Below are 13,758 nucleotides of genomic sequence, written 5' to 3' on the forward strand. Positions count from 1 at the left end.
TATATGCATAATTTTGTTCTTTTTAAGAAAAAGTGTCAACCAATTGCACACATAGCTACCCTTGCTTAATGCATCACTGTAAATATACACACACGTGTGTGTGCATTCTTGTGAGTATACTCATTTTTGTGTGGGCAGGCTCAGGCGTCATATGTGCAGTGGTGTGTGTATTATAGCAACAGAACAGCTGCTTTTCAGAACTCCCTTTCTTGATCAGTCACACTGGTGACAGATTTCTGTGATCCTTCTTAGGGAAACATTTGAGTTTGCCTGCCTACCCTGCCAGGCTCCCTAAGCTGCTCTAGTTATTCTTGTTGCCAGTCCAGGTTTACCTCCTAGCACTTCACAGTCTAGGTCCTAATTTTCTAGTGCTGATTCAAAGTCAAAGTGAGTACCTAGAAGAGCGGGCACATCTAGTGCAAGACTATCCTCAACAAAACTGTAACAGGGAATCTATCTGTGTTCAGTGTTGCTCCCCTGAACACCGTGCTCTTCACTCAGCCTTCACACCCCTCACATGGTATTCTATTTAAAAAAATAATAATAATGTGAATTTAGAGATGGGGTTTAGCTATGTTGCCCAGGCTAGAGTGCTGAGGTTATTCACAGGTACAATCATCCTGCACTACAGCCTCGAACTCCTAGACTCAAGCAATCCTCCTGCTACTTAGTCTCCTAAGTAGCTGGGATTACAGGCATCTGCTACAGTATTCTTTTTTTTTTTTTTTTTTTTTTTTTTTTTTTTTTTTTTTGAGACAGAATCTCACTCTGTTGCCCAAGCTGGAGTGCAGTGGCATGATCTTGGCTCACTGCAAACTCTGCCTCCTGGATTCAAGTGATTCTCCTGTCTCAGCCTCCCGAGTAGCTGGGACTACAGGCGCGCACCACCACGCCCAGCTAATTTTTGTATTTTTAGTAGAGACTGGGTTTCACCATGTTGGCCAGGATGGTCTCCATCTCTTGACCTCATGATCGGCCTACCTTGGCCTCCCAAAGCGCTGGGATTACAAGTGTGAGCCATGGCGCCCAGCCCAGTCATAGTATTCTTGTTGTTTCTCTTTCTTCTCTTCTTTCTCCCTTCCTCCTTTCCTTCCTACCTTTTTTCCTTCCTTTCTTCTTTCTCCCTTCTCTCTTTCCTTTCTCTCTCTTTCTGTTTTATCTCTCTCTCTGACATACACACACACGTGCATGCACACACACACGCATACACACACACGCGCGCGCACACACACACACACACACACACACCCTTCCCAGTTCAGGGCTCTCAGGGCTTTGATTTCTGCCAGGTGGTCTTAGGAAACTCTTTAGTGTAGGTATTCACTGACCTTGCAAAGGGCATATGGATACCAACAGGTTGATAGATACTAACAGATTAAACATTTTCCTTCCTGGGTAATATATTTGCATAACCATAGATGCCTATCTTAACCAAAGACTGGCTCAAAGATTTCAAAGTTTGTTTCAACTTAGAAACAAACAAACAAACCAAAAAATCTGATGCTTAAGTGTGTAAGGGGTGGGGAGAGCAAATATTTGAGGAAGACAAACCTTTGAGGGCCTACAGCATCCCCCACAAAGGCCCAGTTGTCCATGATTGAAGTCAGCAGTGCAGAGACTCAGCTGATCAAAGAGAAGATGAGGCTGCTTTCGAACTATAAAGGAACCATGGCCCTCATCTGGTAAATCAGCATTGATCTGTCATGGTATCTCCTTGCAGTATAAATTGATAAGGGAGGATCATGCATTAAACCATCTGCTTCAAAAAGTTTAACTTTCTTTCTTAGGGGAGCAGTTCTAGGTTAGGATCATAATGGAGTATTAACTTGTTTTATGGTATATACCAGGATATTTTTCATTCTCCTTGCCAGAATAGGCAGCTGTCTTTACCAATAAATCTTGTGAAGTTTTCCACTTTTGGGAAATCATCTGATTCAAAGCAGAACTGTTCTTATAACTTCAGGAAACAAATTAAAAATCTGCTCTATTTTAAATACCCTTAGAGCAAAACATGTTGAAAAATCTTATTTAGTATTTCATGCCTAACATTATTTGCATTAAGAAGGCTCCTCCTAAAAGCTAACTCAAATCTTTTTGCAATAATTTAAGCCATTTTCTGGGCATGGCTGAAGTGAGAGTTAAAAACTTTCGTAAATCCCTTTTGCGGCTTGAAGGAAGCCAATATGTCTACAGAGAATTTAGGAGGATACAAGATGTCCTTAGAACCTTTCTGGTCCTGACATCTATTCATTTGGAACACTTTTCTTGTGATCTTTTGGGATTCTGGGTCTCCTTATAAATGACTTCTGAAGAAGGGACAGACAGCAATAGGGTAACAGAGAGCAAAGAGGCTCCGTACTATTTTTTGACTTTTCTGACCACTGTGAAATTGAGGATACATTGTTTTGGAAAAGAAATTCCTTGGGTGACTTCAGCTGTGTTAGTGGGGCAGGACTCCAATGAGTTCTCCACTGTAAAATAAGAGGGCTATGCTGGGTGGCTGATAAGATCTGGCCACTAGCTGCCGGTCCCCCAGCCATTTCCTGGCCTCTGCATTAACCTCAGCAATGCTTTTTCTGTAAATGCTTCCTCTACCGGGTTCCCCAGTCGGCTATGAACTCAGGCAGCTCAATTCAGGGGTTGTGTGAGGAGGCAGGCTTGCCTATGGGAGCCCAGCAGCAACCATAGAAGAACTGATTAGCTTTTAATAGCAGACCTCCGCCAGACAGGCAGGAGTCTAAAGAGTAAATAGAGGTGCTGGCCCTGGAATTTTTTTAAAGGCCCCAGAGGGATTTGTTCACCGGCGTTTGAATTTCTACAGAAAGGCTCTGTGAAGCTCTAAATTAAACCAAGCTGACCCCTTTCACAACCCAAGTTATTTACAGTTCACAGGTCTTTGGAGAGCTCTAGTTTGCATGCAGTTGAAAATGGGTCCCTGGTTGGCAAAGGTAGCCTACTGTGGTGCTATTTGCATTACACTACCTTGCTTTCCTTTGGTGTGGGAGAAAGCTCTGGAATGGAAGCCAAAAGATGTGGTCTAGTTGTAAACATGCCTTTGTTTTTCAGCAAAGGAATGGCGCCGGTAGAAATAACCAAAAAAGAGCCCGCTACTAGAAAGCAAATAACTGAGTTCTCTCTGTAATTAAATGCATTCCTCAGAATAATAACTAAGTAGTAGGAAGGAAACCAAGCAACACCCCCTCCCCACCACTGCAACTGATTTCCTTTGCAGCTTTAACAATCAGATCAGTCAAGAAGACTGGCACTGATTATAGCACTCAGTTTCCCCATTTTGCTCCATACTGGGAGAGTAATTAAGTTAAATTGCTTTCAGTGCCTGAGATCTGGTTTGTGTCAAAGTCAAATAAAGTGCTGGTTCAAGTTTGTTCATCAGCACCTTGAACTTACCCCTGGCCCTCACTTGTATAAAACCATGGCAAGGTTTTGTACCATGGCAAGTGTTGGATAGAGAAATCTTGAAACCCCACAATAACCTCATTTCCTATGAGAAATGTGGCATGTGTCTCTCTTTCTCAAGACTGGTAAACTTGGTTTGGTGGATATTTAGGAGAAACTTTTTGTGATCTATCAAATAAAAGAAGACAGCTTGCCAAGACACAAGCCCAAGTTTAGTCACAATTACTGAAAACTGGATTTCGTGGGAAGAAAAGTACAACAAAACTTGTAATCTGGAATTAGGAGAAATGTGAAGGTAAAAAGATTGATACGTTATGTTTAGGAGAAAATGAGGTGATCTCATACTTCCCTCCCTTTCTTCTTTATCTCCAGCTGAGTCTAAAACACATCATTCTCCCTCTTCTGGGTAGGAAAGTATACTAGGCATGGATATTGGTAGTGAAGGAAATAAAAATATTTTACTCCAAAATATACCTGTCTGACTTATTTTGAGATGGTTGTTCAGAAGGCCTGCAAAGCTGTCTTTTGTGGGAGAGATTTGCATCTGTACAGAAAATCTGCATTAATGCAGCCAAGTTTCTCTGAGACCTTCCCTTTTCCAGATCTAAGAAAGATTTAGGAGAGAAAGTGTGACACGTTTAAATATCTGAAAGAAACATTCACTCTCTATTCTCTCTGAGGGCTGCTCCCGGTGAGATTTCATCTGTATAACAAGACCTCCTTTGCTAGCCAGCTCTTCTCCCCAGCCCATAACCTGTGTGGCCACTGGAATCTGATTTGCCACAATACTCTGTTTTTGGCCATGTTCTGTGCTCCCATTCTTTCTGTAGCCTCAAGGTGGTACATAAGCTTCTGTACCCCACTGGGGGGTTGTGATCACTCTGTGATTCTCTCCTATGTGCACATTAGTAACTTTGTATGTATTTTCTCCAGTTAATCTGTCTTTTGTCAGTTTTTTTTTCAACAAACCTGTAGAGGGCAAAGGGGAGGCTTCCCCTTGGCCCCTGTAATCGTGATGGTAGTGTGTGTGCGTGTGCGGAGAATGATTGGAGTGTGAAGGAGGGCTGGCAGGTAAAAGGACTGCAAGAGAGAGAGAGAGAGAAGCCATAATTTGGATCTTTAAGTGATTTGTACTTTATCTGGAAACTATGACAAACACATAGGAAAATGGCATGACAACATATTCATGCAGAAGGATGTATCTTCAGTGTCTGACACGTGGTAGACACTTAACATTCATGGAATGAATGAATGAATGGGTAGAATAGGATGGATGGATGGCGAGAAAGCCAACTATAGGAGAAGAGAGTACAGTCACTAAAGCATTTGCTGGAAATAAAATTAATTGTCCATCTCCCACTGGGAAGAAAACCTTGGGCCATATTCCTTAGCAGTATGGCTAAATTTGGATGAGCATAAGTATTGTGTAAATAGATTATGTAGTGTAGATAAGCAAGCCCTTTTTTTCCCTATGAGTTAAAATTACACTCATTTCAGTTCAAGGCAAAAATAATTTTATGCATATGATACAGAAGTTAAATGACAAAATGTAGAAATTGTAGTGTGCTAGTTTTCCATATGAAGTGTTAAGTTGGGGCATACATGCAGAAAATAAGATAGGTAGGCAGTGGAGAAAGCAGTTACCAAATGGATAGAAACTGAGCCCTAACTATGAGGGGAAAACAAGTCTATATTGTTGTTTAACTCCTACACTGGAGGTATCAACATGGCTATACACAGTTTTTCTGAACCTGTGTAGGACTCTCTTCTCAATCCTTAGCCATCCAGTTCAGATGTTCTCTCTGACTATATAGTCATTCCTTTTTCTCTGGTGCCCCAGGGCTTCTGGTATTGCATTGTGATTATTTGCCTTCTTTTGCAAGAGCAAGAATACAGTACATTATAGCGGTCAGTAAGAGTTTGTTTATTATAGGCCAGGAATTGTGCTAGTTTCCTTTAAATAAACCATCTTTAAAAAAAATTTTTTTTTTTTTTGAGTCGCCAGGCTGGATGGAGTGCAGTGGCACCATCTCGGCTCACTGCAACCTCCAACTCCCTGGTTCAAGCAATTCTCCTGCCTCGGCCTCCAGAGCAGATGGGATTACAGGCATGCGCCACCACACCCAGCTAATTTTTGTATTTTTAGTAGAAATGGGGTTTCACCATGTTGGCCAGGATGTTTCTGGTCTCCTGACCTTGTGATCCACCCGTCTCACCCTCCCAAAATACTGGGATTACAGGCGTGAGCCACCATTCCCTGCCTCAAATAAACCGTCTTATATCATCTTTGCAATGACTTATTTATTCTCATTTTGTATATGAGGGGACCTAGTTTCATGCGCATCAGTGTGAAGAGACCACCAAACAGGCTTTGTGTGAGCAATAAAGCTTTTAATCACCTGGGTGCAGGTGGACTGAGTCCGAAAAGAGATTCAGCGAAGGGAGATAGAGGTGGGGCCATTTTATAAGATTTGGGTAGGTAAAGGAAAATTACAGTCAAAGGGGGGTTGTTCTCTGGTGGGCAGGAGTTGGGGGGTCGCAAGGTGCTCAGTGGGGGTGCTTTTGAGCCAGGATGAGCCAGGAAAAGGACTTTCACAAGGTTATGTCATCACTTAAGGCAAGGACCGGCCATTTTCACTTCTTTTGTGGTGGAATGTCATCAGTTAAGGCAGGAACAGGCCATTTTCATTTCTTTGGTGGTGGAATGTCATCAGTTAAGGCAAGGACCGGCCATTTTCAGTTCTTTTGTGGTGGAATGTCATCAGTTAAGGCAAGGACCGGCCATTTTCAGTTCTTTTGTGGTGGAATGTCATCAGTTAAGGCAGGAACAGGCCATTTCACTTCTTTTGTAGTGGAATGTCATCAGTTAAGGCGGGGCAGGGCATTTTCACTTCTTTTGTGATTCTTCAGTTACTTCAGGCCATCTGGGCATATTCGTGCAAGTCACCGGTGATGCGATGGCTTGGCTTGGGCTCAGAGGCCTGACACCTAGGGCTAGGAGGGTGTGTGATATGTGTGGTAAATGGTAAAGGCAAGCCTCAAACTGAGGTTTCCTGATAGCAGGTTCACTGCTGTTTGCACCATAGCAACTCCATTTGCTAAAGCAGTGCTGAACAATAAAATAATAATGCAAGTTATACGTTTAATTTTAAAATTTAGCCACATTACAAAATGTACCATATTTAAAAAAATAAAAAGAAGCAGGTAAAATTAATTTTTTAAATTAAATTAAATTTGAATTTTAGTCAACATATAATAAATATACATATAATGGGGTACATAGTGATGTTTTGATGCTTATAATGAATATTGATCAGATGAAGATAATTAGCATATCCTTCACCTCAGACGTCGACCATTTTTTTGTGTTGGAAACATTTGTTATCCTCCTCCTAGCTATTTGGAACTATATAATATATTATTGTTAACTTTTGTAGAAACATTTAAAATAGTTTAAGATGTACAGAAAAGTTGCAAAAATGATGCAGAGAGTTCCCATTTACTCCACATCCTATTTCCCCTAGTGTTGGCATCTTACATTTATTTAGTGTGTTTGTTACAATTAATAAAACAATACTGATATTTTTTTTTTTTTTTGAGACAGGATCTTGCTGTGTTGCCCAGGCTGGAGTGTAGTGGTGCAATCACTGTTTGCTGCAACCTTGACTTCCTGGGCTCAAGGGATCCTCTCACCTCAGCCTCCTTAGTAGTGAGGACCACAGGTGCATGCCATTATGCCCGGCTAATTTTTTTTTTTCTGTAGAGGCAGGATTTTCCCATGTTGCCCAGGTTGGTCTCAAACTCCTGAGCTCAAGCAATCTGCTGGCCTCAGCCCCGCAAAGTGCTGGGATTACAGGCATGAGTCACTGTGCCCATCCCTGATACATTATTAATAACTAACATCCATATTTTATTCATATTATCTTTGTTTTTACCTAATGTCCTTTTTCTGTTCCAGGATCCCATCTGAGATAACCATCATGTCTCTTTAGCTTCTTTAGACTTTGACAGTTTCTCAGACTTTTCTTGTTTTGATGACCTTGACAGTTTAAGGGTACTGGTCAGGTATTTTGTAGAATGTCCTGGCTATGGTCTGAATGTTTGTGCCATTATTCACCCCTACCTGCCCCTGCCCCATGATAAATTTATCTGTTAAAATCCTGTACCCCAAGGTGATGGTATTAGCAGGTGTATTAGTCTGTTTTCATGCTGCTGTTAAAGACATACCCAAGACTGGGAAGAAAAAGAGGTTTAATTGAACTTGCAGTTCCACATGGCTGGGGAGGACTCAGAATCATGGCTGGAGGCAAAAGGCACTTCTTATGTGGTGGTGGCAAGAGAAAATGAGGAAGATGTAAAAGCAGAAACCCTTGACAAAACCATCAAATCTTGTGAGACTTATTCACTACCACAAAGAAAGTATGGGGGAAACTGCCCCCATGATACAAATTATGTACCACTGGGTCCCTCCCACAACACGTGGGAATTATGGGAGTCCAATTCAAGATGAGATTTGGGTGGGGACACAGAGCCAAGCCATATCAGCAGGTAAAGCCTTTGGGAAGTAATTTAATCATGGGGCAGAGCCCTTACAAATGAGATTAGTGCCCTTAACCAGGAAACTACAGAGAACTAGCTAGTCTCTTCTGCCACGTGAACACAGTGAAAAGGTACCACCATTAATAAGGAAATAGGCCCTCACCAGACACAGAATCTGTTGATATCTTGATCTGGGACTTCTCAGTCTCCAGGAGTATGAGCAATACATTTCTGTTGTCAATAAGCTACCCAGTTTATGATATTTTGTTATAACAGCCCAAATGAACTAAGATAGAAATTGGTACCAGAAATGGAATGGTGCTGTAACAAATACCTGAAATGTGGAAATGGCTGTGGAACTGGGTAATAGAGAGAGGCTGGGAGAGTTTTGAGGTGCATATCTAAGAAATCACAAAATCATAAACAATGTTGATAGGAATATGGACAGTAAAGTCCATTTTGATGACATCTCAGGTGGAAATGGGGAATATTTGATTAGACACTGGAGAAAAGGCCATCCTTACTGAAAAAGGGGCAAAGAACTTGTCTGAATTGTGTTCATGCCCTAGTATTTGTGGAAAAGATGGAAAAAGATGGAACTTGTGAATGATAACATAGGAAATGAAGCTGGGGACATTTCTTAGCAAAGTGTTGATGTTGAGGGTGCAGCTTCAGCTTGGCTTCTCTTGTTCTCTTGGAGGCAGATAGTAAAATGTAAGAAGAGTGAAATGATTTAAAGATGGGATTTTTAATCAAAAGAGAAGCAGAATGCAAAGATTTGGAAAATTATCACTTTGTCCATATTTAAAGGAATTAGAAAGTATATTTGAGAGAGACCACCAAAGTTATGGCCAAACTGCTGTTTGATAAAGAGGAGATTAGTATGGAGTTGTCAAGTGGTAGTCATTCAGACAATGGAAGAATAACAACAAAGGAAGTTTGGAGACCATCACTGATGCCCCTCTCATTGGAGGCCCAGAGTGCAAAAGCCTCGGGGGCAGAATGATTTTAAATGAGGGATCATGGGCTTCTACAGGACCTTCTTACTGGCTGCCTGGCACCCCTTCAAGGCTCTGCTCCCTGCATTCTAGCTCAGTGCTCCTTAGCCACCCCAGATTTTAGATCCAGTGGGCCCAAGTGCAGTGCAGGTACAATAACCACTCTGCAAAAGGGCACAACTGGTAAACCCTGGCAGTGTCTCGGTGGTGCCATCTCCACGGCCATACAGAGTCCATGAGCTGTGGAGTGTGGTTACCTCCACTTAGATTTAGAAGGATGGAGCCTCCTGGACCCTTGGGCATATGACCCAGACAGAGGGCCACTGTGGGGCTAGGCCACAACAAAGAACCCCCAGCAGGGCAATGACTAGTGGAGCCATGGGGGCAAGGCTGCCTCTGAAACCTCTGACTAGTAGAGTCACCAGGTGTGATTCCAGCCTGGGAGAGCTTAAGGCACTTGGCTATAACTAGTAAGAGCTGTGGTGTGGGCTGTGCCCAGCAAAGCCACAGGGCAGGGCTACCTGGAGCTCTGGGGGCCTAACTCTTACTCCAATGTGTCTAGAGGGTGGAACATTGAGTCAAAGGTTATTGGTTATTTTTGAGACTTAAGATTTAATGTTGTTTGCCCTGTTGGGTTCCAGACTTACTTGGGACCTGTTATCCCTTTCTTCTTTACTATTTCTCCCATTTAGAATGGGAATGTCTAGCCTATATCTGTCCTACCCTTGTATTTTGGAAGCAAATAATGTATTTGACACTACACGTTCACAGCTAGAGGGCAATTTGCCCCAGGATGAACTGTACCCTAAGTCTCACATATATTTGATTTAGATGATATTTAAATGATGACCTTGATAATCTGGCTGAGCTAAGTGTTTGACAGGTTTCTCTACCATAGAGTTATACTCCCATTTCTTTCCATACTGTACTCTTTGGAAAGAAAAGTTAAGGGTGAGAGTTAAGCTCTACTTCCTTGAGGGGGAAGAATCTCCATAGGTCATTTGAAATTCTTCATGGGAAATTTATTTATTCTTCCTCATGTATTTATTGAAAAGTATTATTTATTGCCGGGAGCGGTGGCTAACCCCTGTAATCCCAGCACTTTGGGAGGCCAAGGCGGGCAGATCACAAGGTCAGAAGATCAAGACCATCTTGGCCAACATGGTGAAACCCCATCTCTACTAAAAATACAAAAATTAGTTGGGCATGGTGGTGGGCGCCTGTAATCCCAGCTACTTTGGAGGCTGAGGCAGGAGAATCGCTTGAACCCGGGAGGTGGAGGTTGCAGTGAACCAAAATTGTGCCACTGCGCTCCAGCCTGGGTGACAGAGCGAGAGTCCATCTCAAAAAAAAAAAAAAAAAAAGTATTATTTATTTTTATCAGCATAGATTCATGACTATTTAGTGAAACTAATGCAAACATGTTTTTATTTAACCCAATATATCCAAAATATTACCCTTTCCATTCATAATCAATATAAAACGTTTGAAGGCTTTGCATAAAAACAAAATGAAGAATACGTTATAAATAAGTCTTCAAAATCTGGCATGTGGTTTACGCTTATAACATATCTTAATTTGGATGCTAAACTTTCATTGGAAATACGTGTTCTATATTTAGATTTCATAAAATTTATAGTTCAAAATGTAGATTCACATACGCAAAAAACTACAGCTATACCTAAAAGTTTTCCAAAAAATGAAATAAGTACTAAAAAGTCACATTCTTTTAATAGTTGCATCTATTTTACAAAATTAGTTCATCTTTTTTAGAATTTATTTGACCTACTTGGGACCTGCTATCCCCATAATTTTACAATATGTACAAATTAAGTAAATTCACTAACTCTGTGTCAGATTGGTACTATTGCCATCAAATTCAAAGTGGTATTGCATAAATTGAAAAGCATCTTTAGGCTGGGCACAGTTGCTAACAACTGTAATCTCAGCACTTGAAGGCCGAGGTGGGAAGATTGCTTAAACCTAGGAGCTTAGGACCAGCCTGGGCAACATAGAAAGACCCTGTTTTCACCCCCCGGAACCAAAAATAAGATAAGATAAGATAAGATAAGATAAGATAGCTGGGTGTGTGTAGTCACAGCTACTCCAGAGGCTGAGGCAGGAGGATTACTTGAGGCCAGACACTCAAGGTTGCAGTGAGCTGTGATTTTGCCACAGCACTCCAGCCTGGGTGACAGAGTAAGACCTTGTCTCTTAAAAAATTAAAGTATCTTTAGATTTACCACAATCAACAAAGACTTATTTAACTTTTTCTTTTAGTTTTTGAAGCAATTTACATAATGCTGTTGATTACAATTAAACTTTTTGATATATTGATTTATGTTTTAAAATTACAAAATCATTATGATTCAATTGTATTATGAAAAATTTCTATTTCATCATTAATTTCCATACTATATTACTAGGTCATAAATAAGGTTTTACTTTCCTTGGAATTTCAAATATAACTCATTTATATGCAGTGTTATATCAGTGAGAAAACATAAATCACACTGTCATTTTTTTGCTGCATGAGTCATACTGACATTTTTTTGTTTGATGATTACATATTTGGCAAGCATTCCTTTTGTTTCAAGAAAATCTTGAATTAGAGTTAACAATGTAGTAAATTGTCCTAAGACTCTTTTACAACTCAACCAACAAGCATTTGCAAAGAATACGAGATCACAAAATTATCTTTTATTTCTTTTAAACAGTTTTACAAATGAATGAATTTTCATAGCATTTTGTATGTAATGAATGATTTTAAAAACTCTACCTATGAGACTTTTCATAGAATCTGGCTCAGAAAACTAATCACAGATATATTCAAAATGTAACATATAGGTATGAAGCAATAAGGGAAATATTAGTCTCTTTGTTTTAAAATTCCAATAAATCCAGATTTTTCAACCTAATATAGGTAGAGTACTGTTTGTCATAATAGGAATGAATTTTTTTTATATCTAGCCAAATTCTTTAATAGTTTTAAAAGATTCAAAAATTTCTATGCCATGAGTGTAATTTTTTAGGCTGGAGATTGACAACTTTTTTTTTTTTTTTTTTTTTTTTTTTGCGACTGTCTTGCTCTGTTGCAAGGCTGGAGTGCAGTGGCGCGATCTCGGCTCACTGCAAGCTCCACCCCTCCAGGTTTAAGCAATTCTCTGCCTCAGCCTACCCAGTAGCTGGGATTACAGGTGCGTGCCACCACACGCAGGTAATTTTTTGTATTTTTAGTAGAGACGGGGTTTCACCATCTTGGCCAAGCTGGTCTTGAACTCCTGACCTCGTGATCCATACGCCTTGGCCTCCCAAAGTGCTGGGATTACAGGCGTGAGCCACCGCGCCCGGCCGACAACTGTTTTTGGTAATTTTGGAAGTTCTTTGAGATAAAATATAAAGTATTAATCAGATAGTGACATATCATACAACTCATCTAAAGCTAAAGAAAAATAATTATAATTTTAAAAATTTTGAGTCAATTAGTCTTTTATATTTAGAGAAATATTGGATTTATGTGTAATCATTTGGTGGCTTAACTGAAGATCTTTCACTTTCTGTAAAAAATCTTTTAAAATCTGTTCTTTATAACCTTCGAATAGAATCTTAGTAACTGAAGTAGCTTATTGTACCATGTCTCCATCTAAAACTTTTTTTGTCTTTTTGTATAAGGATGTCTAGCTGGCCAGAGTTATAAACTCAGAGCCCCTAAAAAAGACTTTTAAGATTGTATTAATAATTTAATTTTGATTTCAAGAAACTAATTTCACCAAATATTTTTTGTCTGTTCAGAGGAAACCTCTTATCACAATGTATTTGCTGAAATGTCTTAATTTTGCCCACTTAATTTCTCATAATTTTTTTTTTACAAACAAAGAGGCAGCTTTTTCACTTTTCTCTGCTTCAGCAAATTGTAATTGTCATCCTTTCTGAAGAAAATCCTGACATATTCTGGTCTTTTATTTTGTATTACTATTTTGGTCATAATGCTAGCTTCTAAGATTTCCATTCAATTCTGTGTAAGTAATATGCCTTTATTTTTAATCTAAAAATGTGTCCATACTTATTTTTTTGTACTGAAATTATGATTTAATGGTATTATGATTAAAATAACTAGTATTTCAGTTTATTAAGTATGATTTCCACAGATATTACTATAACTCCTGCTGTCTCTCTAAAATAATGAAATAAAAATACTATAGTGTTACACCTATGAACAGAAAAAAGGATTCAACTTGAATCAATACATTGTCATCTGTTAGGCTGGTAATACCTTTCCATGTAAAAATGATGCATGTACCACATATTTTGCACTCTATAATATAACAATTACTTCTTATACAGTACAATGGTTAAAGTAATGAGTACTTCTACGAAAACAATAAAGTTGAGTTTAGTGGAAACATAGTTTAATTTAAATTTCAATTAATTAAAGTTAAATAACATTTAAACTTTAGTTCTTTCATCATCGAGACCATATTGTACATGTTCAATAGCCTTGTGTGGCTGACTCTCATACTAAACAGAGCAGCTAAAAATGCCAGTCTAGGTGGTGTTTTTTTTTTTCTTTTAAAGGGTAATCTTCCTTTTCTTATTAACCTCACTTTATTTGTTTATTTATTTATTTATTTATTTATTTATTTATTTTAGACAGAGTTTCGCTTTTGTCGCCCAGGCTGGAGTGCAGTGGCGCTATCTTGGCTCACTGCAACCTCTGCCTCCCAAGTTCAAGCGATTCTCCTGTCTCAGCCTCCTGAGTAGCCGGGATTACAGGTGTCTGCCACCACGCCCAGCTAATTTTTGT

The 13,758-nt window shown here is 39.6% G+C and overlaps 4 annotated features.

The window, feature by feature from the left end:
• Window positions 574–1,118: an enhancer, noted in NCBI's record as "H3K27ac-H3K4me1 hESC enhancer chr5:116197952-116198496 (GRCh37/hg19 assembly coordinates)". NCBI's record gives its function as "activates a minimal SCP1, AML or CMV promoter by ChIP-STARR-seq in naive H9 embryonic stem cells {active_cell/tissue: H9 hESC(naive)}" and the evidence as "EXISTENCE:reporter gene assay evidence [ECO:0000049][PMID:30033119]".
• Window positions 2,751–3,295: an enhancer, noted in NCBI's record as "OCT4-NANOG-H3K27ac-H3K4me1 hESC enhancer chr5:116200129-116200673 (GRCh37/hg19 assembly coordinates)". NCBI's record gives its function as "activates a minimal SCP1, AML or CMV promoter by ChIP-STARR-seq in primed H9 embryonic stem cells {active_cell/tissue: H9 hESC(primed)}" and the evidence as "EXISTENCE:reporter gene assay evidence [ECO:0000049][PMID:30033119]".
• Window positions 3,296–3,839: an enhancer, noted in NCBI's record as "OCT4-NANOG-H3K27ac-H3K4me1 hESC enhancer chr5:116200674-116201217 (GRCh37/hg19 assembly coordinates)". NCBI's record gives its function as "activates a minimal SCP1, AML or CMV promoter by ChIP-STARR-seq in primed H9 embryonic stem cells {active_cell/tissue: H9 hESC(primed)}" and the evidence as "EXISTENCE:reporter gene assay evidence [ECO:0000049][PMID:30033119]".
• Window positions 5,787–6,534: an enhancer, noted in NCBI's record as "OCT4-NANOG-H3K27ac-H3K4me1 hESC enhancer chr5:116203165-116203912 (GRCh37/hg19 assembly coordinates)". NCBI's record gives its function as "activates a minimal SCP1, AML or CMV promoter by ChIP-STARR-seq in naive and primed H9 embryonic stem cells {active_cell/tissue: H9 hESC(naive and primed)}" and the evidence as "EXISTENCE:reporter gene assay evidence [ECO:0000049][PMID:30033119]".

Source organism: Homo sapiens, chromosome 5 (genome assembly GCF_000001405.40).
Source record: "Homo sapiens chromosome 5, GRCh38.p14 Primary Assembly".
In the NCBI taxonomy this organism is placed as follows: Eukaryota; Metazoa; Chordata; class Mammalia; order Primates; family Hominidae; genus Homo; species Homo sapiens.